The sequence below is a fragment of the Homo sapiens genome, chromosome 5 (genome assembly GCF_000001405.40).
Source record: "Homo sapiens chromosome 5, GRCh38.p14 Primary Assembly".
Taxonomy (NCBI): Eukaryota; Metazoa; Chordata; class Mammalia; order Primates; family Hominidae; genus Homo; species Homo sapiens.
The window spans coordinates 173,312,839-173,340,803 of NC_000005.10; the positions used below are offsets into that span (position 1 = coordinate 173,312,839).

General features: G+C 48.8%; 1 protein-coding gene and 1 long non-coding RNA gene across 2 annotated transcripts, besides 4 other annotated features; one reads left to right on the forward strand and one right to left on the reverse strand.

The window, feature by feature from the left end:
• Nucleotides 1-1,884: 1,884 nt before the first annotated feature.
• Nucleotides 1,885-15,576, reverse strand: STC2 (stanniocalcin 2). Its single transcript, NM_003714.3, has 4 exons — nucleotides 15,205-15,576; nucleotides 13,030-13,172; nucleotides 10,381-10,592; nucleotides 1,885-5,411 (listed from the first exon to the last, which is right to left on the reverse strand). Exons 1-4 carry the CDS (start codon nucleotides 15,353-15,355, stop codon nucleotides 5,009-5,011), a joined length of 909 nt encoding a protein of 302 aa, NP_003705.1. The 5' UTR covers nucleotides 15,356-15,576; the 3' UTR covers nucleotides 1,885-5,008.
• Nucleotides 4,019-5,218: an enhancer, noted in NCBI's record as "MED14-independent group 3 enhancer chr5:172743860-172745059 (GRCh37/hg19 assembly coordinates)". NCBI's record gives its function as "activates an origin of replication core promoter dependent on BRD2, BRD4, P300/CBP and CDK7 cofactors, and independent of MED14, by STARR-seq in HCT116 cells {active_cell/tissue: HCT116}" and the evidence as "EXISTENCE:reporter gene assay evidence [ECO:0000049][PMID:35650434]".
• Nucleotides 10,905-11,405: an enhancer, noted in NCBI's record as "H3K4me1 hESC enhancer chr5:172750746-172751246 (GRCh37/hg19 assembly coordinates)". NCBI's record gives its function as "activates a minimal SCP1, AML or CMV promoter by ChIP-STARR-seq in naive H9 embryonic stem cells {active_cell/tissue: H9 hESC(naive)}" and the evidence as "EXISTENCE:reporter gene assay evidence [ECO:0000049][PMID:30033119]".
• A 184-nt stretch (nucleotides 15,577-15,760) lies between the features above and the next one.
• On the forward strand, nucleotides 15,761-22,284 carry LOC124901137 (uncharacterized). The gene is made up of 2 exons (XR_007059056.1): nucleotides 15,761-16,913; nucleotides 21,972-22,284. It is a non-coding gene; the product is annotated as an uncharacterized LOC124901137 (long non-coding RNA).
• Nucleotides 16,770-16,989: a silencer, noted in NCBI's record as "silent region_16638". NCBI's record gives its function as "represses an Ori minimal core promoter by ATAC-STARR-seq in GM12878 lymphoblastoid cells {active_cell/tissue: GM12878}" and the evidence as "EXISTENCE:reporter gene assay evidence [ECO:0000049][PMID:35858748]".
• Nucleotides 19,106-19,245: an enhancer, noted in NCBI's record as "active region_23654". NCBI's record gives its function as "activates an Ori minimal core promoter by ATAC-STARR-seq in GM12878 lymphoblastoid cells {active_cell/tissue: GM12878}" and the evidence as "EXISTENCE:reporter gene assay evidence [ECO:0000049][PMID:35858748]".
• Nucleotides 22,285-27,965: the final 5,681 nt, after the last annotated feature.

Below are 27,965 nucleotides of genomic sequence, written 5' to 3' on the forward strand. Positions count from 1 at the left end.
TTAGCTCAGGCGTGATGTTCAATGGTGGCAAGGTGGTTACAGATTCTAAGGTGCCATGAGATCTGGGTTCATCCTGGTGTGGAGTCCATTTCATGCATAAGCCTAGGTTGGCTTTGTGACTTTTTTTTTTCTGTACTCTTTGGGAAGTGACTTTTTTTTGTTGTTCTTTTTGGGGAGTGATAAAAACTGAACTGCTTATGCAAGCAGCAACACGGGACTCCTAGCCCAAGGCTTCTATTGCTCTTTTCTTCTCTTCTCCACCCACAAAAAATAATTCACATAAAAACTGTTCTCTGGCCAGGGGTTGTCGCCTCCTCAGCAGGGGGCTTTCTTTTTTGTTGACTTTAGAACCAATTTGGTTTTCTGTGTCCAGATTTTGGGGTGCATAGATCCAGCTTCCTTTGGAAACTCTGCTTAAATCCCAGCATATTTGGAAGCTCTCTGACTTCTTCCTCCCACAGCCTAATAATTCCAGAACAGTTGGATTGGAACAACCTTGGGGCTTAGAGGGAGGCAGCTGAATTTCTCGACTCATTTGGGTGCATTTAACCCATGTGTTCACACTTGGAGTGCAAGAAGACAAGGTGGAGGGGTGCATTTGCATGCTGACTCTAGAGCTCACTAGCCTTGTGACTGGCTCCAGGCATATTAAATGTCATGAAGCCTCAGTTTCTTTATCTTTAAAATGGGTTTCAGAAATAATATCCCTAAAGCACCAGGCAAGGCACGGAGCACATCATGGGTCCCCAGGAATCTGCAGCTGTCCTGATGAGGGTGATGATGTTGGTGAAGGGTTTGGAGGAGGCTGGCTTCTCAGAAAGGTGATGGGGTGAGTTTAGTGAGGAAAGCTCCAGCTGCATGTTTCAAGAAAACCAGATGCTCCCCAAATGCTTTCCCAGTGGTGCATGAGAAGAATCTTATAAAAAATTATCCACATGCAAAGAAAAATGAGGAGGCTCCACGATTCTCCTGCTTTCCTTATCGGAACCAAAATTTGAGTCTTTGCAGAGAGTAAAGGTGAGAGCATTAACTTTCCTTTCCATTTTGAAGCAGAACTCCTTGGAGGCCTGGAACTATAAATGTAAGAGTATAATTATTCTTTCCCCAAGCCTCGTGTAAAATAGGCATAACACTGATTGGTTTAACTTAAAAATAAATTTAAAGTGGAGATTCTAGGCCTGAAGTAGGGGAAGGTGTGTGGGCTTAGGAGTCCTGATCTGAGTTTGAGTTCAGACCCCACCCCACTCACTAGCCACACAGTTTGGGACAAGTCTGTACCTCAGTTTCTTCACCTGTAGAATGAGGATAATACCTATTATTTGTGGGATGTAATGAGGATGAAATAATGCATGCAAAATGCCTACTGTGGTGCCTGGAACATAGTAGGTACACCAACAGTGGCACAGATCACGTAAACCAGGGGCTCCAGCTCTGTTCTGCTGTCGTGAGCAAGAGCTGGGGAGGAGGCAGTGGGCTTCCCTCTATATGCCAGGCCACTCAGCTGTTAAGCTGGTGGTGTCTGCTGCAGGCTCAGTCTGAGAGAAGGGGTGGCCAAGCCACAGGGGAGACTCACAGGGGAGACTCAAAGGTGAGACCAGAGTGAGCCTTAAGGACCTGCCTAATGGGGTGTGGGGGTGGCACTTCCAGGCCAACTGCATGAAATTTATTCTCCTCCTTGTCTGGGTGACTCAGGCAGGGGCTTGGACAGGGTCCCTCTGACGGAGAAGCCTAGGGTAGTCCTCTTCATCTAACTTCCTTCCCTGTAGGCTGAACATCCACAGAAGCATAGGATTCTCTTGACGTAAAAGCCCACTTGCTCACAGCTGTCCCCCTGTGCACCGGACATCAATGACCCTCTCAGACAATGACGCTACTCAAGTGGAAGCCATTTATTTAAAACTTTTATTAACGCTTGAAGAAAAATAATGCAATGTGACAATGTACAGGTCCTGTTGCCTAAATCCGTAGTAGAAACAGATATTATCACTTAGCAAGCTCACGTGGTGCCAATTCTGAGATCAGACGGGGTTGTTCCTCCTTAGGAAGTGGCCACTGGAAGCATTGTTTTTCCATGCTATTTCCGTGAAGCCTTTTGCTTGGTTCGAGTTTAAATTTCTCCCTTTGTGTGAGTATGACTATAGTTCTGGCCTGGTGTTTTCTATTTATTTAGTTTTAGATGTCAGCATTTTACTATACTTGGTCCTCTCACTTCAGAATAACAGGGCTATTTATTGATACAAAGGAGAGGTGTTCAGATCATCTTGTTAAGATGCAGAGCTCAAAATAAACACTAAATCTTTATTTGGAGATCCACATCCTTCCTCAAAGGAAGGCTCATGAGTAAATTTGTATGCAGTATAAAGCCCAAGTAGAGGGTGTATTTTTAATGACTACTTTGCTTACATTTTAGATTGTGCAAATGTCTCAATCAATGCTTGCAGGAATGTGGACCTTCCTCAGTTTTAAGCAGAAGACCCTGAGCAATAAATACTGTTGCATGCTTCCAATAACGTGAGGGATGGGATAGAAATGCTATCTACCCGACTTCTGAGGAGAAAACAAAGCAGTGGCATGAAAAATATACAACAGAGATCAGTAAATGGGTTCAAATGAACACAGTAAACCATTTTATGCCTTAGGGGGAAAACACAGAGATAATAAATACAAATGACAAATATTTACAATAGAAGCAACGAATGGGATCAGTAGGCGAACACATAAAACATTTACACGGAGGAAAATGGAAATGTGATGCCTTTCACACATCCAGTCCAGGAGCTGGCGGACAAATGAACAGCTGACTCAGCAACGCAGGAGAATGTTATTGCTTTAGCTTTTGAGTGATGTCAGTAAAACAGTCAACGTGCCTGCCGCGGTGGCTCACTGCAGGAGACAGCCACGGTTTACACTCGTTCCCATGGCAGAGCCTGACACACAGGTCCTCCTCCCCCCAAGGGCAGAGCTGGATTAAGTGCACCAGCTCTTCTGTTCTCTGCAGCCCCAGATCTTGCTGGGTGCCCAGGGAGCCCGGTGGCGGGGGCTGGAGGTGGGGTTTCCTCCCTTCCCCCAACCAATGATTCCCCTCCCCACCCAACCGCCGGCATGGATCATGAAAGACTGGGATTGGATTTGGGGCATAGAAATACTAGCTGTGTTTTGGTTGAAGGCATTCCCCAGGAACAAGTCATTTTAGAGCAGATACGCTTGGTTTCTTGGTGTCTGGCCTCAGGTTGCCTTGAGGAAGAGCTGATGAGTTGACGGATAAGGATGCATATGCTTTTTGACCCACTCACTAGAACAGAGATCAGTAAACTGTGTCCTGTGAGTGAAATTCAGCTGGGAGCCTGTTAAATAAATCTTCCTGGAAGGGAGCCAAGCCCTCTCGTTTGTGTGTTGTCTATGGCTGCTTTTGTGCTAGGACGGCAGAGTTGAGTAGTTTCGACAGAGACCTCACGGCTCGCCAAACTGAAAGTACTGGATTCAGTATCTGGCCCTTTGCAGACAATGTTTGCTGACCCCCTACTCCAGAAGAGCCCAGCCCAGAATACCCGGCCACTCCCTACAATACCAGCTCCTGCTTGAGAAAGGATAGGCTTTAATTTGATGGCCAATTAGGAAGAAAAGGCCTATTTAGGTGATGTTTTAAATAACCCAAGAAACCCACTGCTGAGACTTTTAATGAAAATCCTCACTCTCCTTTCCTCGTATTTTTAGTTCTGTCTCTTCTCTCTGCCTTTATTTGTCCCCTTGGACTCCTCTCCTTATTGCTAAATTTCCAATTAGGATCTGGAAAATCCTGTCCCTTAGAGATTTTCAGCAGTCTCCTTGATTTTATGTAAAAGGTCAGCATTTCCTGATGGGAATTACTAAGTAGTCTTCATTCTCTTCTTTCCTTTCCCATCCCCTCACATGGAGAAGCCAGGTTTCCAGCTGGGTCTCCTGGAATCGCCAGGACGCAGCTTTACCAATCTTGGCTGAGGGTCAAGGTGAGATAACGAAATCCTAAGGGAAATTTGTCAAATGTACTCCCCAGGTGTGTATTTTCCTCTGGGTATAAGGTTTCCCCCAAGTGGGCAGGAGTCCATGTCAGGCAGTCAGATGTATGGCTATGTCGCTGTTTGATAGCTTTTAAAATAGAACTTAAAAAAAAGAAAAATCAGCCTCAAAGGATGGGCTGGTTTTTTTTTTTTAAACCCCCTTTGAGCTGGTTTTAATGACCCAGTTGCTTTGTTTGAAAGCCATTTATTTAGATGACAGATATGTAGATATAACTGGATAAATAAAAAAAGTGAAATCGAGATTTGAAGCAGTGGTTAAAATATAAACTCATAGGGGCCACTCCCTTGGACAGTGTCCCCCCCAGCCCAGACAGTACAATGGCTCAGAAATTACACATAGAAATGACACTCCTCCCTCCACCCTCGCCAAGAGCTCTGAACCGCAAGGCCCCACACAAGAAACTGAATTTCAGTTTGGCACCAAGCACCCCCTCGGCCCCTGCCTCCTCTCCACCCTTCTCCTGCATTCTAAGCGATATTTATTTTTACATTCACTCCTGTCCTGGAATCCAGCCGCCCTGACTTCCGCGGAGACAGCACCAGAGGCTGCTGCACCAGAAGCTTCGGGGCGAGGCCCAGCACCCACTGTGTGGCCCAGCTCTGGGGGCCCTGCCTTGCCCTGCCCCTCCCTGGTTCACCTCCCCCACAACAGAGCGGCCGACACCCACTGACTCCACAGATGGAAAGAAGACAAAGGTACGAGGATAACGCGGGCGCGCTCCCTTGAGTACGTGTAAGTGCAGAATTCACCAGGCACCCCTGAGACCCCACGGCCCCAGGGGTCTCCATCTCACCTGTCCGTTCCGCGAACACACACCTCGATGAAGTCCACAGTCCCCACAGAATCCTGCGTGTGACATCCCCCCTCTCTAATGGTAAATGTTTTGGAATGTCCATAGATAAGAAAATGGACGGCGTGGAGGAAAGATTTCGTGGCCAGGCCTTTCATTTCACCTCCGGATATCAGAATACTCAGACTGTTCGTCTTCCCACTCGCTGCTTCCGGAAGGTCCCTGAGCCCCAAGGCCCCCGACTCTGCCTCGGGCATGGGCGTTTGGGTGGCTCTTGCTACCTCGCTCACCCTTGGCACCTCGGCCAGTCTCCCTACTGCTGGGCTCTGGGAGGTGATGTCCTGCTTCCCCGTGGTGGGCCCTGGAGAGCTTGGTTCTGTCCACCTGGGGCTGGCGCTCGGGGGGCGCCGTGGGAGGCTTCTGGATGGCCGAGGTGCAGAAGCTCAAGATGGAGCACAGGCTTCCCCAGTTCTGCTCACACTGAACCTGCACGCTGTGGGTGATGGCCTCCTTCACCTCCTCCCCACAGGTCAGCAGCAAGTTCACGAGGTCCACGTAGGGTCTAAAGATTGAAAGCAAAGAGAGAGAGAGAGAGAGAGAGAGAGAGAGAGAGGCTGGGAATGGAGCAAGTCCCGAATGGACCACAGAGGGCAGGGGCAATGCTGGGAAGGAGGCATGGCCAGTGCTTGTCTTGGGTTCGGTGGAAGATCTCTCTCAAATGACTTCAAGCCTTTTCTCATAGTCTATGGAGTACTGGCCTCAACCAACACTTATTGGGTGGCCACTGTGTCCCAGGCTCACAGGTGCATAGGGTAAGAGCTTAGGACCCTAAAAGGAAGACCCTCTGGGGATGGTGAGAAATCCAGGTGGCTGCGTGAATAATGGCAGGAGAGCTCTGGGTGCCTTTAGGCTACACTAACTAGGTGAGTTTCAGCTAGAGTGGAGATGGCTCTGGGGTCCAGTGGAATCATAATTAGGCAAATGGTGCAGGGCCTTACATAGACTTCCAAACAGAGGATTCTTTTTGGTAGGGAAGAGGAAACCATGAAGGTTTAGGACCACGTGCCCTCTATGAGAAGCCCCCAAGAAACCATTTTCCCCATGTTTGTGTTTGCCCCGGGTTTAGGCTTCTGATGAAGAAGGGTGTTTTTGGAAGTTATTGGATGCATTTCCTCTGCATCTGGAGGAGTATGGAAGAGCTGAAGTGGGAGGGAGGAAGACCATGTCCCTGGGACGTCATTGCCCGTGCATGCAGTGATTCCCTTTCTCAGTAGCAGAGGCTGGGGAGTAGGTGTGGCCATCTGAGCATCTTTATTCTTTCAGTCTGGGCTTCCTTAGATTTGGAGTTGAAGGCTGGCGGTCAGGGGCCCCTGTGTCTGGACTGAGAGACAGCTCACTGTGCAATGAACTCGCCTAGTTCTGGAGGGCAGAGCCAGTTCCTCAGGCCATTCCGGTTGTCTTGGGTTGTTCTGTAGGAAAACCACTGGAATAATTTACTCCAGGGGGTGGACAAGGTGTGCAGAAGGCAGGAGCATCTGCTTTTTATATTTATGGGCCCATCTGGTAAAGAGTGTCCCCAGCAATGGGCTCTCATGGGCCACTCACTGAGCTTTTATTTTAACCTCTCACTGGCCTTTAAAACCCCCCAAGGGGGGTATAGAATGTTTCACATGGCTAACCAGCATTCCTAGGCAGTCCTCGCTGGCAAAGTTTCTGATCTATCTGACCACAAGCATTGCAGCTTTGGGCCATCACCTTGAGCAGGGAAGTCACCATGGAATGTGAGGTCATTCATAACAAGGAGCAATCTGATTTGTCCTCCCTAAGTCTGGGCCACCAGAGAGGCTGCGTTACAGCCCATGGAGCCTTTTCTTTGCAAGTTGGCAGTTGTTGCTATGTGGAAAGAGCAGACTGTGTTTTGAGATGTGTGAAGTAGTTTACTGCCTTTTTATTAATTATTCCTCAAGTTGGAATTGAGTGAACTGTCCTCACCTCATGGATGCAAAAACTGAGAAAAGCAGGGAGAAGGTGGCTCTTGGAAGCTTCTGGGCTTCAGGGCCCAGGGCTTGGCTGAGAGCAGAGCAGAGAGGAGGAATGCTCTGGCTGAGAGAGATCCAGCTGCTGTTTAGGGCCTGCTTGATGACTTTGGAGTCAGCAAGTCTGTGCATGGCCGCTGGGCAAAGGGCTTTAAACCCCCTAAGGCAGGCCCCTGACAGCGCAAGACAACCTAACCCTGTCCCTTGGACTGCCCTGAGGTGGGCAGGTGGGCATGCAGGAGGCAATATGAGGGAAATGCTCCACGCGTGCTTGTTTCCTTCTATTTTTTGAAAACTAGAAACTGCCTCCGGAGCTCAAGTTCACCGAGTGTGTCTGCTAAAGCAGCAACAGGATTTTAGCACCTGACTGTGCCTGCCGCGGCACCAGGGCTAGGTGAGCACACTGCAGGGGTGAGGGTCTGTCTTTCTGAGATACTAACTGGATGCTGTCTTCAAGCTCCTTTCCCCAGAGTAAGGGGAGGGCTGTCTTGGGAATATGCAGACTGTCTTTCGCCTTCCCGGCCAGGGCGTTCTGTCTGCCAGATGAGCCCCCAGAAGCCCAGGGCGGATCTGGATCCCAGAAGGCTGGATGAGCCCATGCTGTCCTCTGCCCTTGGCCCTCTCTCTCTCCAGGAGGAAGCTGTGAACTGCGGGGAGGGGTGTGTGTGCCGAACCAAGTTAATCCAAGCCGTGTTCCGAGCTGGCCTGGTGCCTTCTGAGGCTGCAAGCTCAGCCCGTGTCTAATGACAAAGTCCAGCTCGTTCAACTGGGTGTCAGCAAGCCTAAAGGATTTTAAAAAATACTTGGAGGGGGATGTGCCTGGAGCCTGCCAGCACCCAGTGACATGGCGAGTGGGGGTAAAACCAGGCAGGCGGCAGCTAGGGGGAGACAGATGCTGTGCAGAAAGTGGGGCGGGCAGGAAGGGGTGAGGGGAGCGGAGAGGAAGAGCTTGAAAAGAGCAGCATTAACTGGGGGTGAGTGTTCTGGTGTGGATGGGGGTTGGGTTGAAGAATGGGGGTGGTGCAGATTCTGGGGTGACTGTGATTTCCTCATCTCTAAAGTGAAAAGCAAATTCAGTTCTCTCTTTTTTTTTTTTTTTGACCAATGCCACACATTTGGAAATGGGCTTCTTGATATTTGGGGACTGATAGGATACTTTAATCAGTTAAGATGGTTGGGAAAAAAAAACCTAAAAAACAGGCAGTTCAGCTAGAAGTACAAGTCGATGCACCGCCACATCATGGCTTCAGAAGGAAAGGTAATGGGGGTTTTTGGGAAGCTGGAGTTAGGGGAGACCCCTGCCTAGAGATGCTGACTTAGGGGGAAGCAAGAGGAACAGCATGTGACCAGGCTTCTTATATGGGCTGCCTGCATTTCCAGAGCAGGCTGGGGTGGGGGGTCATAGGCTCATTCTGAATGGTGTGAGGAGACCATGGCCCCGAGGGCCACATTCCCAAGAAGGAGACACTAGAACGCCAGAGAGCTTTACCTTCTTCTTAAATTAAGGGGAGGGGGTGGGACTTCCAACCTTCAGTTTTCCCAAAGAATACTTTTCTCCAAGAAAGATAGAATTCCTGTGCTCCAGGCATGCATTATAGCCTTATAAACTAGGAATGGGCCCCATTCCCCACCGATTCCTGAGGCCAGCAAACTCTCTCTAATGGGGGACAGGGCTAGAGGCGAGTGAAGCTCACGGTGTTTCCTAGCCATGGGGCATTTTTCTCTTCCAGAGGCACCTGAAGGAAGGGAATTTTAGAGTGTTCTCCTTGTGTAATGGGGATATATTTGATAAAAGGACAAGAAGCCCACCACATGTGGGGAGCTGTGAGCCCTTTCAGGTCTAGGAGGGAGATAATAGGCTGGGAGCAGGTTTGAAGTCTATTCCTGATGACTGGCTTCAGTCATGTATACCAGCAATTCCGAAGCTTAAAAGCAGGAATCAAACCTCAGTCCGAGTTCTCTAATCTCTTAGCTTCACTTTCCTCCTCTTGGGCATAGTAATTTCTATCTTGTAGCATCTTTGGGAAAGATAAATGAGATAACCCATGTAAAGGCCCTGGCCAAGGGCCTAGACCATTAGAAAAAAAATTAAAAAAACATAAAAAAAGACAGCTATCATTGTTGTTGATGATGCTGTGGCTGCTATTGTTCCCTTAAAAATATTTGAAGAATAAAAAATATTTTGTAAGGCGTTAGCCTAATTCGAGGAAAATGCAATATTGTTTTGCTTTTGGCAAGAGCTTCCTGCAGAGTTTCGCCATGAATTGTATGATTCTAACACTGTAGCAAGGGTGTTGCAAGATGCCTATGACCTTATAACCAAGTGGAAAGAGACAGGAGGTGCTTGCTGTTCTCTGTCATCTAAGTGGTGTTGGTGTGGTAGGGACATAACTGGAAGAAGGTTGTGGCACAAACTGAGGATCAAGAGTTCATAAAATTATACCGATTTGGCTCAATGAGTCACCGTGGAGAGACCAACAGTGCCATCAAACTGGTAATGACTTGTACTGAACTGGTTGGCTAGTGGCTTTCTTTCTGCCCTGTGTCTCTTAGGAAAGAGCCATTGTCAATATTTAAAAAAAAAATCTTCAGGGGCTCCTGGCCCTGCCTCATGTTAGGAACAATTGTGTACCAACATGCTTTACCATGCTGCAAAATTTAGGATCCTGTGGCTGAAATATTTTGTAAGAAATGATGCATCCTGAATTTATCATTGAATTTCAAGTCTTGAAATAAGTAAGTTCACATTTCCTTGTTTTGGCATAGAAGTGTTTAGCTGATTAAAGTTTTTGGCACTTGTTTTGCATTTCCTCTGAGAGGGCACTAATGTATGAGAGAAGGTAAACCGAACCTTCTAAGGGAAAGGAAAGTTAAGGAGGCAGGAAAAGCATCTATAGCTCTGTTTTCGGGATTTAAGAGTATAGGTTCTGGAGGCAGACTGCTCAGCAGACTGGAGCCAGGTCCCAAGTCTGGCTTTGCCTGTCACTAGCTGTGTGAGCTCTGCCTTAGTGAGTCTCAGTTTTCTCATCTGTCAAATGGAGGTGACGAGGGCTGTGGTGAGGATCAAGTGAAAAATTCACAAGGAGCCCTTAGCCCAGTGCCTGGCGCTTAGTAAATATTCAACAAATGTTATTAGCAATTTGCTGTCTGTAAGGACACCTCTACAGCTACTCAGAATATTCTGAGAGCTAGTGGGTTCTTGGCTAAGGGGAAGATGAAGAGTATTACTGAATCGACACATTTCATTCTTAGTAAAACGATTTCCCATTTCTGTTGCTTGTGATTTTGAGACTGATGAGGGAATTCTCTCTTTTCCTAAAAGCCAGCAGGAAAGGGGCCTTTTAGTAGAGTCAGTGTAGCTTTCTGAAGTAAATGGAAGCCTTCTCCATTTGACAGGCATTCAGCCTCTAGAAGCAACGCGGCTCTCCTCCCATACACATTGCCATCCTTGCTGGGTGGCCCCTTCACCCAGGCCCTCTGCGGGGCAGTACTCACTCGTGCAGCAGCAAGTCCTTGAAATGGATCATCTCCACTATCACCCGGGTGTTCTCCTGGGCAGCCGCGCACAGGTCGTGCTTGAGGTAGCATTCCCGCTGCAACTGGGACACCATTTCCCTGATGGCCGGGCACTTCCGGCTTATGCAGCCGAACCTGTGCCGCAGAGCGTGGGCCTTACATTTCAAGGCGTCTTTGATGAATGACTTGCCCTGAGAACACACAGGCCGGGGAAGGGAGAGAGGGGCAGAAAGCAGAAGACCTCGTTACATGCTTGGACATTTCAGCCCTTCTTGGGCTTACACAGGATATTTCTGACATCAGAACCCCAAGGCCCCACCAGAGACGGACGTCCTCCCAGGTGACAGGCAATGCGACATCCGGAGGCACGTCCAGAGTGACATGACACCCCCAGCACTGGGCAACAAGGGATGTTCATTCTGTAGACGAACACATCTCCCTCCTTCCTCCCTGGCTACTCTGTGAGTTTCCCTCCAACGGGGGCTTCCGTGGCTATGTGTCCCTCAGGTAGCCCTGTGTTGGTTGTGTGGTGGCAACTTTTCTGGAACACAAAGGGAATTTGGCCAGACACAAATCCATAAATCCCTCACGGTTCTCACAAGCAGTCTTCCCTAAGTGGAAGGTGCCTGCATGTCCAAATCTCACACGTTTCCTTTTTCCCTTGATTCCAGGGGCGACACCGAGATTGATTGCTGATTGTACCTCCCTTTCTGCCTCCGTGCCTCCCACGCCCCAAATCCATACCCTTGTCTCCTCCTACCCTACCAGGAAGAGCGCTCTTTTCCTTTTTGAAAATGACTCTACTCCTTTAAACTGTTCGGATTATTGCCTCTAAAAGGCTGGCCTGGCACCCTGCCTGGCAGCATCTGGAGTCTGAACTGCCGCACTGGCGGCCCCTCCCCCACGCTCCCTGCCTCCGAGTGGCGAAGGCAGCCAGGCATACATCTGGCCTGCAGTTCTCTTTCCTGGCAACCCCGTCTGATTGTGCTTATCCTAGAAAGGAGACAGCTGTTGGGGGTGTGGAGGCGAGCTCGGTGCTGCTCCCTTATCAACCTCGCGCAGCCCGGAGGCATTGTGGGATGCCTACCCGGGAATCCCCGCACCCCACATTACTATAGAAACTAGCTGTCGTCGGAGAGGTCACCCCTCTGTTTTTAGACAGGCCCGGAAGTCACTGAGTTGAGAAAGTAAATGGGTTTAGGTTGGAAGTGGGAAGCCAGCCAGCACATTTATTTTGGTTTTGTCTTTAGCAGCCATAGAAATGTCTACAGATAGCGTCTGATCTCTGAAAAACCATGTGGCCCGCATGGCCTCCCCGTGGCCCCCTCTCTTTTGACTCTCCAGCCAGAGCCAAACAGAATGGAGGGCAGGGTGTGCCCGTTTATTAAGCAGTTATGTGCTGAGCATCAACTTGAAAGGGATGTCTCTAACTTGAGAACGTATTCCTGTTGGTTGGGAAAAAAAAGAGGAAGATGAATTTATGCGAGGGCTGTGGCAATCTGTTCTTGGTATTCTTCCCTGACATCCTGTGGGATTGCCCTTAAATACACGTCTTTCCTCCGGATTTCCTATTACGTTTCCTAATTCCCGTTAATCCAGAGTGATGCTTTATTAGGGAGCCTCAAGGAGTTCAAAGTTCTACCTCTTTCCTTCCCTGGTTTCAGTTTCCCCTCTGGCCACACCGCACATCCTCTGCAGTTTAGGCTGCCAGCCCCGTCTTCGCCTCCCCTCCTTGTTCCCAGGCACTGCTTTGTCAGGCTCACTACTATATGTCAGTGGATGGGGACTGGTGACATCCATAAATCTCACCTAAGCTGATGGCCACCTCCAAATGTTGGCATTGCTCTCCAATGAAGCAGGAGAGACGTTTCTGAGATATAGTAACAGGGCGTTTCAACAGGGCATATAAGTGGCCAGGGAGAACACGAAGAAGGTGAGTCTGATGCCACATGCCATCTAAAAATGTATTTGCGTTGTTGGCACTGGAGCCATATGTTGCTTGTTGTGTTCCTGCCTTGCCCTGAGCAGCAACTCCGCGTTCCCCTTGGGACCCTGGGATAACCGAAGTGGGTCAGGCCCTGACTATATTTATCATATAGAGCAAAAGGAAAGTGTGGAACTGAAGGACTCAATCAGGGTTTCGACCGGTCAGCTTGGGAGAGAAAGATCTGCTACTCAGGAGGAATAGAAGTCTGCTCTTTTGGAGGTCCTGAGTTATTCGGGTTGGCTGCCCACACACCACATGACGGATTTCTACATACTTTGTGTCTCATTTTCCTAGTAGGTGAAATGACTTCTGAAATGTATAATTGGGGGTTCCTGCCCCTGCCTCTCATGCAGTGGGCTTTGGAGACTGAGTTCTGGGTGGCCAGACACAGCGTGTCCCCTTACAAGGTGTTTATCGTTTATTATGACATTGGTCTCCAGTCCACCCTGCCTGTGTAGACACAGCTTATGAGTGCAGAAGGGAGACACTGGCATAATGTTTTATACCTAGACTGTCGCTTGCAAGCACTAAAACACACCACAAGGAACAGCAAAGGAAGTTGGTTAACAAGGCTTTCCAATGAACGTTTCAATCATGTATGCTCACCCCAAACATTCTTCATGCTCTGGATGGATTTTTACCTGGGCATCAAATTTTCCAGCGTTGTGCAGAAAAGTCATGCAAATCCCATGTAAGCCCCGAATCTCACAAGAGTTGTTCTCGAAACATTCAAACACGCCACACCCCACATCGCCAGCGTTGACCAAACAGTGCTGGATCTCCGCTAAAAGGAAAATCACATACAAATATATACAAAACTCTAACCCATGCTGGGCAATGCAGAGAGGTCATTTGAAATAAAAGTTAACAACTAAAGGAAAATTTAAGGAGGAAAAAAGACTTAGTAATGACTATTTCAGGACCTAAAAAGCCTGGGAAACAAAATTTCGTCCTTTAATCTACTCATGAAAAATATCTCTATTTGTAAATATTTGTAGAAAAGAGCCGAAAAATTACAAAAATTACAACCAGAAGGCTGGTCTGAGCATTCCTCCTTTTCATCCTTTCCATTTTATTAAAGTATTTGTGGGAATACTTAGTTTGAGAGCAAAATATATTTCCGCTTTTTAAACCCACAGACAAAAATAAAATTTTGAGTCGAAGACTGTACTTCATCAATGAAGTACCCTTCTCTACTTGATCTGTAGAAGTTGCTGCTATTAAATCACAGCCATTTGCTTCCTGACCCCCAAATGACAGCATCTAAAAAGCAGTTTCAATTCAGCTTTATGATTCAACACCTAAAAATCAAAACAAAATTCCTATTAAGGCAGTGCCTCCCAACCCTTCGCATTAAAATACCAGCTAGGGAAGCTGCGGTTGGCGAGCAGGCTTAGGAGTGGAGTCAGCTGGGGGCGAGCCTTCAGAAACGCCACTATCAGAGGTTGCAGGCTCCTTTTAATTAGGGATCCGGGTGAGGTATCACCCAATCCCCTAGAATTCCCGCAGCCCGGGAGGAAGCTTGCAGCCCTTCACCGAATGTGGCCCCCAGTCCTCTCTCGGAAGGGGCAGACGGAGGGAGTTAACTGTCAGGCTGCAGCGTGCAAAGCCTCTTCCCTCCCTTTCCACTACCCAAGTCTCTGATTTAAATCAACCACAAAATTACATCAGAAAAGTATATTTTGGAAGAAGGGCGGGGTCGGAGCAGATAACCCGCATCAGATTAAATCTAGCCAGAGAATGAGGGGCGTGTATTGTTGAGGGTCACCGACCACCGAGAATCAGGTTCAGTTCTCAGAGGAAGCGCCAGAGGAGGGGGAGGGTGGGCGAGGGTCTCGGGGTGGTGGGGGTGCCGGCCCCAGCATGTGGAGGCGACAGGATCCGTAAGACCCCACGCGCCGCCGGGGCAGGACCGCACAGGGCCGCCATTCACTCACTTGGGGCGTCCCTAATGGGCACTCGTGCATTCCAGCTCGTGCGGTGAGCGCACGCACGCCGCCGCTGCCGCGTTCACACGGCCCCCCAAAGTCGGGGGAGGGGTCGTGGAGCGAAGGAGCTGTAGGCAGATTTTCTTTCTCTTTCCGAGCTGGGAAAAGGGCCAGCCCCGTGCCCTGCACGCCTGGCTCTGCTTTGCAGCTTGCCGGTGAGCCAAGAGCCGGTAGAGCAGAGGAGGCGCACGGTTCGGGTCGTGTCACCATTTCTTGGCTTGCTGACCTGGCCAGGAGCTGGGGATGGCGGCAGCACCGCGGAGGTACGCTTTGCGCTGCCCTCACGCTCCCTTCCGAAAGCAGTGCCCCCAGGGGGAAAGTTCGCAATGCCATTTGTCTCGCCGGCAAAGTTCTGGGATGTCGGGCATCTTTTGAGGAGGGGGAAGACGCGGCACCCTTACTGAGGCCGGCAGGCCAGGAAGAGAAGTTCTCCGGGCGCAGGGCGCAGCCCAGCTCCGGGGACCCTCTGGGCCTCCCGCGTGCCGGCCGGGATGAAGCGCGCTTTGCACCGGACCCGGGATTCGGGGGCGGGGGCTGGCGCTGGCAGCGTCAGACGCTGCTTCATTTCCCCTCGACCCTGGGGAGGACAGCAACAAGTCCTGCCCCAGCCATTTCATCACCCTGCTAGCACGTGCAGATTCCGGGCCCTCGGAGCCCGGCGCGGACCTCGCCTTGCCTCGCGCTTCCCTTTGCACGTCCCGTGCCATCCCAAGAGTTTGCGTGGCCCTGGGTGGGCGCCTGGCTCCCGGCGAAACGCCTGGGGCGCGCCGCGTGGGTGCACGGTGTCCTCTCCCAGTAGCTCCCGGCTGCGGGGGCACATGCACTTACCTGTATTCTGCAGGGACAGGCGGCCTTTCTGCTGGGAGCTCCTGTCTTGGGGACCCTCGGGTGGGTTGGTGGCGTCGGTCCCCCGCGCCGGGTCAAAGGTGGCCAACACCAAAGCCAGGGTCATGAACTGGCCCAGCCGCTCGGCACACATGGTTCTTGGTATTAACCTCCCGTCGGGAGACCTGGATCCTTTGTGCTCCCCTCTTCCTCCTCCTCCTCTTCCTCCTTCGCCGCTTCCCCTCCTCCTCCCACTCTTCCTTTTTGCTCGCCTTTTCCCTCCTCCTCGCGGCCGCGGCTCGGATAGAGGTTACCCAGCGCCCTCCCGTAGCTCTCCGGAGAGCATGTGACCAGGCCGTTAGCAGCGCCGCGAGTGCCCGGCAATGGCAGGGATGGTGCCTCAAATATCCCTGGAAGCTCTGGTGTCACTTGAATGAAGGAGTCGAGCAGGTGTTGTCCCGGCGGCTGGACCAATCCGAGACCCCGGCCCTTTTGACAACACGGCCGGGAGGCGGGGCCTGCGCTCAACTACTACAGGAGGAAGCCGAGCGCCGCTGGGAGCGCCGGACAAAGTTGCCGACCTGGCGGCGGCCACGCGTTTGCGTGCGTGTGTATGAGTGTGTGTGAGCGCGGCCGGAGATGCGTGCGCGTGTGCGGGTGCTCCAGGGCAATGGTCGAAAGGACTGTACAATATAAGAGCGAATCCAAGCTCCAGTTGCTGTTAAAGGGGGACGGTGTGCTCTGGGACAGTGTCCCTGGGGCCCCTGGCTCGCGTCACACCCACATCGGGTTGGGAAAGTTTCCTCTTTCCGCCGTTTGGAATTCAGTGAGATTCCCAGCCCAGAGGACTTGATAAATTGAAGCAGTTTCCTAGGCACAATGATGCTGTGGGCCAACTGAGCACACATGGGAATTCCTGGCCTTGTGACACTTTGCATTAAAAAGAACCCCACGATTGAAGATAGGAGCAGAAGCACTAGATACAGTATTTGGTCTGAGCAACTGCCCTATCTTCCCGCTTTGGTGGGCCGTGCAACACCTGGAGTGTCGTTTCTCGTCTTTCCCCTAATCCAGACGCATTCCAGGCTGGGCTGCAGGGATCCAGGTGACAGTCAGGACTTGCATCATTTCCAGGAGGGTGGCAGGGAGGCCCAAGGCAGCCCTGAGTCAGCCCGCCGCGGAGCATCGCGTGCCCGGAGGCCAGAGCTTGAAAGGCAACTTTACGCGTCTCCAAACACACTCCTGCATTTTCTCAAAGCGCTGCTCGCCACCCCGCTCCGGGTTCCCTTTTACTCTCCAGTCATCCGATGGAAGTGGTGAGAACAAAAACAAAGACAAAAAAGCTAAATCCGGGGAAGTTATCTCCATCTCCTCCCTTTTCTTGTTCGGCCCCCTCCCCAAGAACCGCCGGGTCGGGATAGCCCCCGGCTACTTTCTCACCCGGCCCGTGGAGGGAAGGAGAAAGTTGGGCGCCGCTTGGAGCGCCTCTTCCCCTGCTGTGTGTGTACGTGTGCACGCTCACGTCTCCCCCGCGCCGGGGCCGGGGACAGGAACTGCTCTCGGTCCCGTCACCCCACGGCGCAGCTCGGGGGGCTCGCAGGGCTGGGGGAGGGCGGGGACACGAGCGCCGCGCCCAAGCGCCCCAGGGCACGCACCCGGCGTTGGCGCGCACTCGCCCCTCCCCCCGTCCCCACCCTCCTCCTGGAGAACAGGTGAGCCCCGGTACCAGCTCTCGATCCCCCACCCCCGCCCCGCGCCCCGCCCGCGCCCTCTGCGGTAATGCGCCTGGGAAGTTTCATCACCCACTGCCCAGGCGACGCGGCCCTGGGTCTCCGCGGCGGGGCGCACTGCCCGCCTGGTTGGGGCCGCCATGTGACACGGCTGGGGGAGGGGGCGAGGAGACACGCGGGCAGGTCATCTTTTGGCCGGCGCTTGACTTCCAAAGCTTTCCTTTCCCGTGTCCCGGCTGCACGCGGGAGTGGGGAAGGCGGAGGCGGGGGGCCAGGATGGCCACGGCTGGCCGCAGCTATCCGGCGTGTCGAGCTCTCCTGAGTCGGAAGGAAGGAGAGGAGGGGGTGGGGAGGGCGTCTTCAGAGTGGGCTTCCCCTGCGCTGGAGCGCCAGGGAGCATCCATAAATTGTCACTTTGAAGGTCCGAACCTGCGGCGGTAGGGACCATGCCCACTATTCTAATAGCAATTACTCCGCGCAGCCTTGGATCTTTTGTGCAAGGACGTGCGGGTACAAATACATTAAAACGGCCAGTTCACATTGCCCACCCTGCTTGTGTTTGCATAGTTAACTTAGCTTCCTAGTTTATGGAAAACTACCTCCTGTAGATCCTTAAAAACAAAGCAAACAAACGACACAGCGGCATTCTGGCCTCTCCTAACTAACTCTTTAAGGCTCTGAATTTCCTGAGAACAAGTAGCCATTTGGTCCCACTCCTGCTTATGGGTACAGCTGGGTAGACTTTCTTTCTATGTGGCCTCTTTTGTAGGAGAGAACATGAGCAATATTGACATTAAGAAGGCATCTGGTCACCTGTTTTTTTTTGAGAAGCAGAAATAGGAGAGAGCTCCATGGGGCAGGAGCAAGCCCTCTTTTGCCAGATGCAGACACTTAGTGTGCTGGGCAGAGGCCTCCCAGGATACCTGGAGCGATGGCCAGGGGGATGGAGCTCTCCCTGCTCCTGCTTTGCCCAGCCTTTGGCTAGGCCTACCTTTTGCTACCATGGGGCCCCTGGGGCTGCCCTCAGAGGACCTACATAGTTTCAAAGTTCGTCCTGAGGCTGTTTGCTCCTGCCTTCCAAGGGACATTCCTGGTTTTCACCTGAGCCAACTGCCCCTTTAGAACCAAAAGAACACATAGTAGCTAGAATTGGAGGTGGCGTAAGCACAGGCACTAGTTCTTAAGGGTTTATCTCTGGGCCACTTAGCCAAGTCCAAAGCATCCAGATAAGAATGCCCATCTGAGTCCGACCCGCCAAGGCTGTGAAAATTCCCTTGCAGAATCACTAGGCAGTTTGCTGAAATGGCCAGTCTAGGCCGCAGGGGTAGAAGTGGGATGGGGGCTCAGACTGGTGACTTTGTTGTGATTGACTCCCCCTCTCTCTGGCTGATTCCTTTAGCTTTATAACTGAGGCCAAGTTTGGCAGACTGTGGCTGATGAGGGTGGGGCAGGGGACAGTAATAATAATCATTATTACTATTATATAGCTAACATGACACCGCACCACACACCACACTCATGCCTTTGGTGTCCCTCCAGACCTAGGGCCCTCCCTAGATGGGAACTGAGGCCTGGGAGGTCTCCTGGATGGACCAGCTGCTGTCCTGAGGTTCAGCAGCACCTGTCTGGATGGGCCCTCCTCCTCAATTTAACGCATACACAGCCAGGAAGAGGCAGACATGACCTACCTTGTGTCATCCAGGGCCTTCTGTGGTTGACGCCTGGAGCCCATGTTTTCCTGTCTAAATCCACTTTGCTAGTTACATGCGGTCAACACTGAGTGGCAGGTTTTGGGGGAGGGGATATTTGGGTTAGACCATGAAGGATGGGGGAGGATAGTGACAAGTAGAGGCAAGGAAAAAAGTGGGCATGGGAGGTGGGAGGACCAGCAGGGCTAAATGCATGGAGAGGATCCGGTGGGATTTGTATCAGGAATAGGGGTTGCCCAGTTAGGTGTGAAAGTGGGACATCAAACTGGGGAAGTCGGCCAGGGCATGTTGTGAAGGCTGGGCTCCTTGTGACAAATCTGTGCTCCTCACGGAAGATCTGACGGTATTTAAGGATGAGACTGTAGGGCGCTTTAGACTAGGTTCTCTTTAGGAATTAGGAAATGCTCAGGGGCCCAGAGCTGCCATTGTGGAGAAAGAGCAGAGGAGTGGGAAGGAATTAGTTGGAATCTTCACGTGCGTCTCGATGCCCAGCAAGACAGACGTGTTCTTGCTCGAGTGTGAGCCGAAGGGGCTTTAGCGGATGGGCATAGTTCGTGGGTGCTGAGTCAGTGATGTGCAAGTTGACACGTGCTGCCTGGTCCAGGCTTTCTGAGTTCCGGAACCTGAGTGGAGAACATGGCTTACACGTGGGGAGCTCCACCCACTGCACGCCCCGCCCCCTTGGGGCCGACTGTCTGGGCTGATGGCACCACCTTATGGTCAGAGAGGGAACTGTCTGGCTACACAGTCCTCACGACTCTGCCTGCCTGGAAAGTTCTGATATTGGGTCTCCAGCCTTCTCCCCAGTTTCCTTTCCTTTTCTTAGCAAATCAATTAATGCAGATTTAGCCAATCTCCTCGCAATAACATGCCTTAATCCCCCCATCAAAGAGATCTCTTTCACACTTATTTTCCCTCTTGCTCCCCTATCCGTTGCTGTTTTCCTTTGTGAGTCTCAAATTTACCCTAATCCTGGCTCCTGTGCATCATACCTGTATGAAGGAAAATGAAAAAAGGTATCAAGGTGAAACCGGACAGAAAAAAATAACAAACTGCTGCTATCAGGCCTCCCAAATTATCTTGCAAGCAGAGGTCTCTCCCTAAAAAGCCTCCATCTCCCAGCACTTTGGGAGGCTGAGGTAGGTAGATCGCTTGAGCCCGGGAATTCGAGACCAACCTGGGCAACATGGCAAGACCCCGTCTCTACAGAAAATACAAACATTAGCCAGACGTGGTGGTATGTGCTTGTAATCGCAGCTACTCGGGAGACTGAGGTTCTGGGAGAATGGCTTGAGTCCAGGAGGTTGAGGCTGCAGTGAGCTATGATTGCACCACTGTACTCCAGCCTGGGTGACAGAGCAAGACCCTGTCTCAAAAAAAAAAAAGCCTCTATCTTTGCTCTTATCTTTTTTTCATTAAACTGGTTATTTCATTAAATATAATTCAGGATAAAGGAGATTATATCTTCAATATTTGGGTTTGTTTATTCTTAATACTATAACCAAATTATATTCTACTAATTTATACCATAAAAGTGCAGTGCCCAACAACACAATGAGTTAAGAAGGATTTTGTGGTGCTGGCCTGTAAACCTATCATGTATAATATTGTTTCTTGGAAGAAAATATATTCTGAGTTCCCCAAACAACCAACTTTGGAAGTGTGGGAACACAACGCTTTTGTGAATTGGGCATTTCCTCTCTGTCACAGATCAATAGTCAAACCATTCATGGATTGACTGGAAATACAAAAGAAAAAAAAGCATTAAAAAAACCCCCAAGAGAGTAGGAACACAATAAACCCATTTACTGGAAGGAATATAAAGTAGTAAACACTGGGCATCTGACTGTAGTCTGAGTTTTGTTAACGCCTTTCTCTGAAGCCTGAATGGTATTCCAGAAGGCCTCTCTGTTTTACATGGGTCATAATTTTTTCTTCCTTGTTGTATCTTGAGACAAACTCCAGGAGAACGTATCCCAGGCAAGGGGCTGCCTGGCTTCCATGGAGAGTACTGGTTGGGCCCAGAGGCAGGCATTGTGGTGCTGGAATAGTATGATAGAGCTCTCTCTGGGTGGGTTTTAACTTTGGTTGGAGAATGGTTGGATGTCAAGTGGCTGAAGGAAGAATCTTTTTGTGGGGCAGTTTTCTAGGGAGCCACATTTTGAAAGCTCCAGGAAACGACCAAATCTATTAATGTGATTTAACTTTCAGTATGTTATCAGGGTCCATCGGACCCAATTTTAGATTTTGAAGGTGTTTTTTTTTTTCCTGAGAAATTCTAACAATTTGTAAGGATTGGTATTTCATGACTTTTGTTTGTTTTCAGAAGTCTTCTGAAGATGAAAGATAACATCTAGTTTTTAACAAAAATAGAATAAAACTCATTCTATCTTGAAGTTACCATATGACTATTGAAATAATTTATAAATTGATGATGTATCATAGGATCTTAGAGATCTTAATTTTCTTATATCTTTAAACATCTTCCATTTTATCACCCTAGAAATTATTTCATCATTACTCATCAATTATTGCCAATTATGGTAAAAAAAAAAAAAACACCAATAAGAAATGGGAGAATCATGGAATCACCTAGAAGGATGATGCAAGAATGAAACAAATTATCACTGTTGTATCATCCTTCAGGTTTTTGATCACATTGCCTGAAGTATTACATCATTTCTCGAGAAAGTATAAAAGAAGACAGAGGATACCATTTTTGTAGTCTTCTTCTTCTTACTTTTATCAAATATAGTTGTAAATTCAGCTATATTTTTCATTTTTCTGCACAAACTGTAAAGAGAAGAAAAGTGACAGAGGAAAATGTTGTACAGTTATTAGTCAAATCAGAAGATGAATGCAGAGAGACAGCACTATGGAAGACTCGATAATGGCGAAACTGACTGAAGTGTATAAGCAAAGTCTCAGACTATGAGTCCTACATGATAATAACCTAGATTAATTTCCTCAGATTTAAGGATTCATGAGTAAACAATATATTTCTAAGGATAACAAAAAATATGATATTCTCATCCTGTTAGTCATTCAACAGGAATGATTTCATCACACTATATTTTGCCGCAAAAACTTGGAGCATCCTGTTTTGCTAAAAGAATGGGGGCCAATTTTTTTTTTTTTTACTTTTTATGTTTGTTTATTGAAATTTTCTTGATACAGTTTGAAGGGGACAAATGATGAAGTCAGATCAAAGGTGAGTACAAAGATGATTGAAAAGAAATAGGTGGTATGGAAAGGAAAGAAAAAAATCACTGGACTAAACATTCTAATTGGTGTTTATAAATTTAAAAATAAAAATGCTTTTCAATTACAGAGAAAAGAAGATGACCATCTTCTCCTGAACAAAATTATGAACTGTCAGAGGTTTCAAAGGTAATAAGTTTTATGATGCAAGTGGAAGAAGAACCAGAAGTAATGATGAGCTAGAACTTATCAGAGATTTCCTTGAAATCAGGACTTGGTGTTTATAAGATGGGTCTGTCCCAGGCTTATGCATGACAGCTGGTGAGCAGTTAGTTGCATGCAGAGGACATTGCTCATTTTGGGCCTATCTACACTCAAAACCAGGAAAATATGCTGTGAAAATTTGCTATTACTAACGTCTCTAATAAAGTTTTAAAAAACGATCCTTTTAGTCTTACTTCTGTAGATTTATTCATAAACATAGAAAGGATCCATTGGACCCTGATGGTAAAAGATGATGATGACATTTTCCTGCTACACCGGGGGCTAAGAGTTTAGGGGCAAAATATTAAAACAAAAATGAAGTAAACTCCTTTAGCAAATGGGAGTCACTGTAGAGGTCTCCATCCATTCCCAGCCCTTTCTTACACAGGCCCACCATTGATTGATGATTACTTTAAAGATGGATGGTTTGAATGTGAGACATCGTCACACAGCCTCTCTGTTTATTCCTTTCTTTGGTGTAACTCAGTTCTTCTCAAATTCTGGTGGTGATAAGAATTACTATACAGGACTGATAGAATATCTCATGGACATTATATCTTAATGAATATTTTACAGACGTTTTAAGATTAATTTTGACCACAGAAGCTTTTCACTTTGAAGATTTTAGAATCTAACCCACTCTGACATATATTCATTCATTCAACAAACTCTTGTGCATGTCTGTGTACTAGATTAGGTGTTGCATCCTGGGAAACGGAAAAGATAGACACAGTTGCTGCCCTTATTGTGGTAGCAATCCAGAGGGAGGAAGCAGTAATTTTTATAGCATCACATGGCAGGAGTTACGATACAGATGAACCAGGAGAATGGGTGAGGGACATGGGAAAGGTGTCAACGATGAAAAATGTTAGTTTTTATACTCACTTAAAAAAGTAGAAATTGGATCCTGGAGAATTGGAGGGTGGCATTTCGAGGATGGAGAAGAGGAGAAAGAAGAATCCAGGCAGATGGACCAACACACGCAGAGGCCTAGAGGAGCGAGCAAGCAGCATGTTGCAGAAGCTGGGTGATTTGGCATGGCTAGGAGGGACCGTGTTTCGGGGAGGAGAGGACCCACAGTTGGAACCTTGACTGGGGTTAGACCCCAGGACTTGGTATATCTGGCTTCATCTGCAAGTAACAGAAAGCCCAGCGCAAACCTCTTAAACAATAAAGGAGAGTGCATTGTTCCAGGAAGTCCTGAGGACGTGGGAACTGCAGATGGATTGGAGGGGAGACCCCTGAGTCAGGGACCCATTGAGAAGTCAGGTGGTAAATTGGAAATGGGAAGGAAGAGGTGATTTTGAGGAGCGTGTAGGGACAAACTGGCATGATAACCAAGTTTCGCACAGAAAGCGTAAGTGAGAAAAACGATGGCAGTTTAAAGCCTCTCTTTGATTATCCCCTTGTCACCTTTCCCTCCCTCCTGTCCTATAACACCTTTCCCACCCCTCCTTCGCCATCCCCCATCTCCAGCAAAGACCCCAGGAGTGATGTTTGGTATCCTCCTTTCCTTCACACCTCGGCATGAAACTCACCATCAATTCTTGCTGTTTTCCTCTTCCCATTTCCACCCTCCAAGCCTCAGTTAACTCTGTCTTGAACCACTGCCGGGTTAACCAGCTGGTTTCTTGTGTCCACTTTCACTTGCCAATACTCTCTCCAATCCAAATTCTCTGCATCATATGTAGCCAGATTAATAATGATTAAAAAAAAAAAAAACCAAACCACCAAACGAAAAGCCCCCAAACCAAATCATACCTCTCACTTGCTTAACTCCAGAGGCCTCCTTGGAATAAAATCCACTCCTGTCCACATGGAAGGCCCTGGGAGATCTGGCCCTGCTGGTGTGCAGATCTCATGGAACCTACTCTCTCATTTCCTCATTCCCTTCTGGTGCCTTTTTTTTTTCTTTCTTTTTTTTGAGATGGAGTTTCGCTCTTGTTGCCCAGGCTGGAGTGCAGTGGTGTGATCTTGGCTCACTACAACCTCTGCCTCCCGGGTTCAAATGATTCTCCTGCCTCAGCCTCCTGAGTAGCTGGGATTACAGGCATGCACTACCACGCCCGGCTAAGGTTGCATTTTTTTAAATTTTTTTTTTTTTGAGATGGAGTCTCGCTCTGTCGCCCAGGCTGGAGTGCAGTGGCGTGATCTCGGCTCACTGCAAGCTCCGCCTCCCGGGTTAACACCATTCTCCTGCCTCAGCCTCCAGACTAGCTGGGACTACAGGCGCCCGCCACCACACCCGGCTAATTTTTTGTATTTTTGGTAGAGATGGGGTTTCACCATGTTAGCTAGGATAGTCTCAATCTCCTGACCTCGTGATCCGCCCGCCTTGGCCTCCCAAAGTGCTGGGATTATAGGCGTGAGTCGCTGTGCCTGGCCCTGGTGCCTTTTTTCTTTACTGCAAATTAGCCAAGCTTTTCCCCCTGCTTTAGGGTCTTAATGTAGGCTGTTCCTGCAAATCAGAGGTCTCGCCCAGTTATTACCTTGTTTATTTATTTGTTTTAATGGTTTCTTGCCTTATTCCTTCTCCTACCCAAAATGAATGATAAATTCCCTGATGGAGAGGACGTTGCCTGCCATGTTCAACGTCCAATCCCCAGCACCCACTACAATGGTTGACACACAGCTTTAAATGTGTGTATGTGCGCCTGTGTGTGTGTGGTTGTGTGTGTGTGTGTTGGATGACAAAAGGCCCCTAGTTCCGTTTGCGGAACTGGGACTCAGAGAGGGGGAGCCCAGTTTGCAGAGGAAGGTGTCGAAAGCAAGGGATGAGCAGGCCATTCAGGTGAGATGTACAATAGACAATTCAGATCCTCCTTACTCTTGTAGCACTTCCTCATTCCATACTGCTTTATGCGGAGATTATTTATAGGTTAAAAGTGCTTTTGTAGACATGGCCCCTTTAGACCTCTCTACAACCTTGGAAGGGAGTAGAATGATTATTCCCATTTTACAGATTAAAACCTCGAGCACAGAGATTCTTGTCTGAGGCCCACACAGCTGGAAGGCTCTAAGTCCAAATTTGAACCTGGGTATTCAAATCCCCAGATCTTTGTATTTTATTATGGTTTTAGAAGTCATGACCCATTTTCTCCACCTTTACCAGTGAACAATAAGGATGACGAATCATGTTGCAAAACACTTTCATTTTGATGCTGATCAAACTGAGCTTAGTTTGCACGTGTATATATATATATATATATATATATATATATATATATATATATATATAGGCTAAGCCATATATATGTGCGTATGTATATATTTTCTCCCTAAGATCTTAAAACCTCGAGAAAGGCAGAAGAACTAGGGAGAGATAAAAATATAACTAGAAGAAAGGGCTCAGAGGGAACAAATGAAAAGAAACAAAGGTAGGATTATAAACTAAAAGAAAGACAAAGAACATATTTAAATTATTCTTGTTTTTTGGCAAGGTTATCAACAAAAAGATGTGGGTAACAAGATAAATTAGGCACACTAAACTAAAGCAAGAAGGCTTATAATTGATGAAGAAAAAAAAAGAAGAAAACAGTTCCCTTGGGGGAGGCAGAAGAAAAGCGAGGCGGGGCAGAGGGAGGTGGCCATGGATCAGCACAGCTCAGCCTGGCCAAGCCATTCCCATACGGTGAGCACTGGAGGCCCAGCATGTGGTGGGTGTTTAGGGAAGACAGAAAAGAGGAAGATGTTAGGCCCTTGACTTCAGTTTGCTGATGGCAGCCACATGGGGAAAGGTTCGAGGGCAAGGAGAGATGATCTATGGGGTGCGCAAGTGGGGATGGCTTTGGTGTGGGTGGGAAGGGTAGGGGCTTGGAGCTAGGTGTCGAGGGATTCGAGTCTCAGCCTTGATGTGGATTAGCTGTGTGACCATGACCAGATTACTTAACCTCTCTGAGCTTCAATCGGGTCAACATAGGCACAGGAATAACACTATGTACTTTATAGGTTGTCATGGGGTTAAATGTGATCATGTGTCGCAAATGTTGCTCAGTGTTTGGCGCCTGGCAGGCACTGCATAGCCATTGATTCCCTCACTGATCAAAGCAGGGGGTAGTGGCTGTGGCCATTCTGTGACAGGAATCTGAGTCTCAGTAAGAGTTGTGACTTTCTGTTCCTTTGGGCACTGTCTTCAAATCCTCAGAAGGCAGGAAGCAAGGAAACAGAGTCAGTGAGCTGTTCCCCCGTTCCCCCCGGTTGGGTGGCTCCATCTAGACTTGGAGATTGGGGTGGCTTTGATTTGTGAGGAAGCTGTGTGGGTCGTAACTGGGTACGTTTTTATTTGCGGGTTACTGTGTGCAGTAACTTACCACATTTGCTCTTTGAAAACGCCTTAATGGGCTGCTGTAGTAGAAAGAGAAAATCTTTCATTGGTATGTGTATGTCGTCCAAATGGTATTTTTAAAGATTTATTTTTGTGTGTTCACGATGTTCTTGAATAATGTTTCCATAAGTACGGTCAAAGATAAAACTTGAGCGGTGCACGAAATCTGGTCGTGCATATTTTAGAGTGTGACCGTCTTTTGACCAGCCGTGGGATCCATTTGTCAAGTTCTTCACTGACTTGTGTTTCCTTAGGAGGACTTGCTTGAGCCGGCTCGCTGATGGAGAAACTTCTGAACATGGGCCAAGCTAATGGTGATGGCCCTGTTGAGTGTCACCCTTTCTCCTTTTACCTGCAGCAGTGTGGCTCTCCAGCGGGACTAGTGGAGGCCAGAGCCTCATAGCTCAGTCATTTATCAACAAACAGCTGATGAGTACCTTTGATGTGCTGGGTGCTGTGTGGGGATTTGGGGGACACAGGTTGACTTAGATGGACAAACCAGCTGGTCACATGCAGCCAATCAAGTAACAAGAAAAGGGACGTGACTAAGGTCCTATGCTAGTCAGGGTGGTCAGGCAATGACTGAACTGGGGTCATTTCTCCAGGAACTTGAAAGACACAAAAAAGCCAGCCAGGGAAAAGCAGTGCAAGTGCAGAGGCCCTGGGGCTGGGATAAGTTGGCCTGTTCAAATAATGGAAAATGGGTTGGCACTGTGGTGGGAATGTATGTCCCCTCCAAAACTCATGTTGAAATGTAATCCCCAATGTAGCAGGATTGAGAAGTGGGGCTTTTAAGAGGTGGTGGGTTATGAGAGCTCTGCCCTCATGAATGGATTAATTCACTTGTGGGTTAATGGATGAATGGGTTATCATGGGAGGGGAACTAGTGGTTTTATGAGAAAAAAAAGACCTGGGCCTGCATGCTCAGCCTCCTCATTATGTGATGCCCTGCGCTGCCATGAGACTCTGCGGAGAGTCCCAAGCAGCAAGAAGGCCTTGGCAGATGCTCCCCCTCGACCTTGGATCTCTTGGCTTCCATAACTGTAAGAAATATGTTTCTTGTCTTTATAAATGACCCAGTTTCAGGTATTCAGCTATAAGCAACAGAAAACAGACTAAGACAGTTGGTGTGGCCAGAGCCTAGCGAGTGCTAGGAGGGTGGCAAGAATGAGTGCCCTAGGGTCAAGGGCCAGGGGAAGGAGTATGGATTTTATTGTAAAACATGATGGAACTCTTGAGCCCTGTAGGACTTGGAGGAGAAGGGCAGGGAGGGTACGCTAGGCAGAGGAAGCACTGGGCAAAGGCTGGGCAAGGGCACGGCTTTTAGGGCCTGGATAGACTGTGGTGGCCTGGGCAGTGCTTATCTCCCTTCACGTCTCTGCTCCTGTTTGCAGCTCTGCCTCCTCCGTGGCTCTGGGCCACCTGGCAGGAAATGGCCTCCCCTAACTCTGGAATGTTGCACCTCTGCTGTACAGAGCCCAGCCCAGAGCGAGCTGGAGTCTCTCAGCTCCGGTTCCAAATTCGTAATAGTTTCTA

Excerpts from the sequence above, each read along its gene's own strand:
- STC2 (NM_003714.3), bottom strand. The coding sequence starts at position 15,355 with ATGTGTGCCGAGCGGCTGGGCCAGTTCATGACCCTGGCTTTGGTGTTG. Across the intron at positions 13,173-15,204 it reads CCTGTCCCTGCAGAATACAG|CGGAGATCCAGCACTGTTTG; the intron begins GTAAGTGCATGT and ends TTTTCCTTTTAG. Across the intron at positions 10,593-13,029 it reads CTGGAAAATTTGATGCCCAG|GGCAAGTCATTCATCAAAGA; the intron begins GTAAAAATCCAT and ends GTGTGTTCTCAG.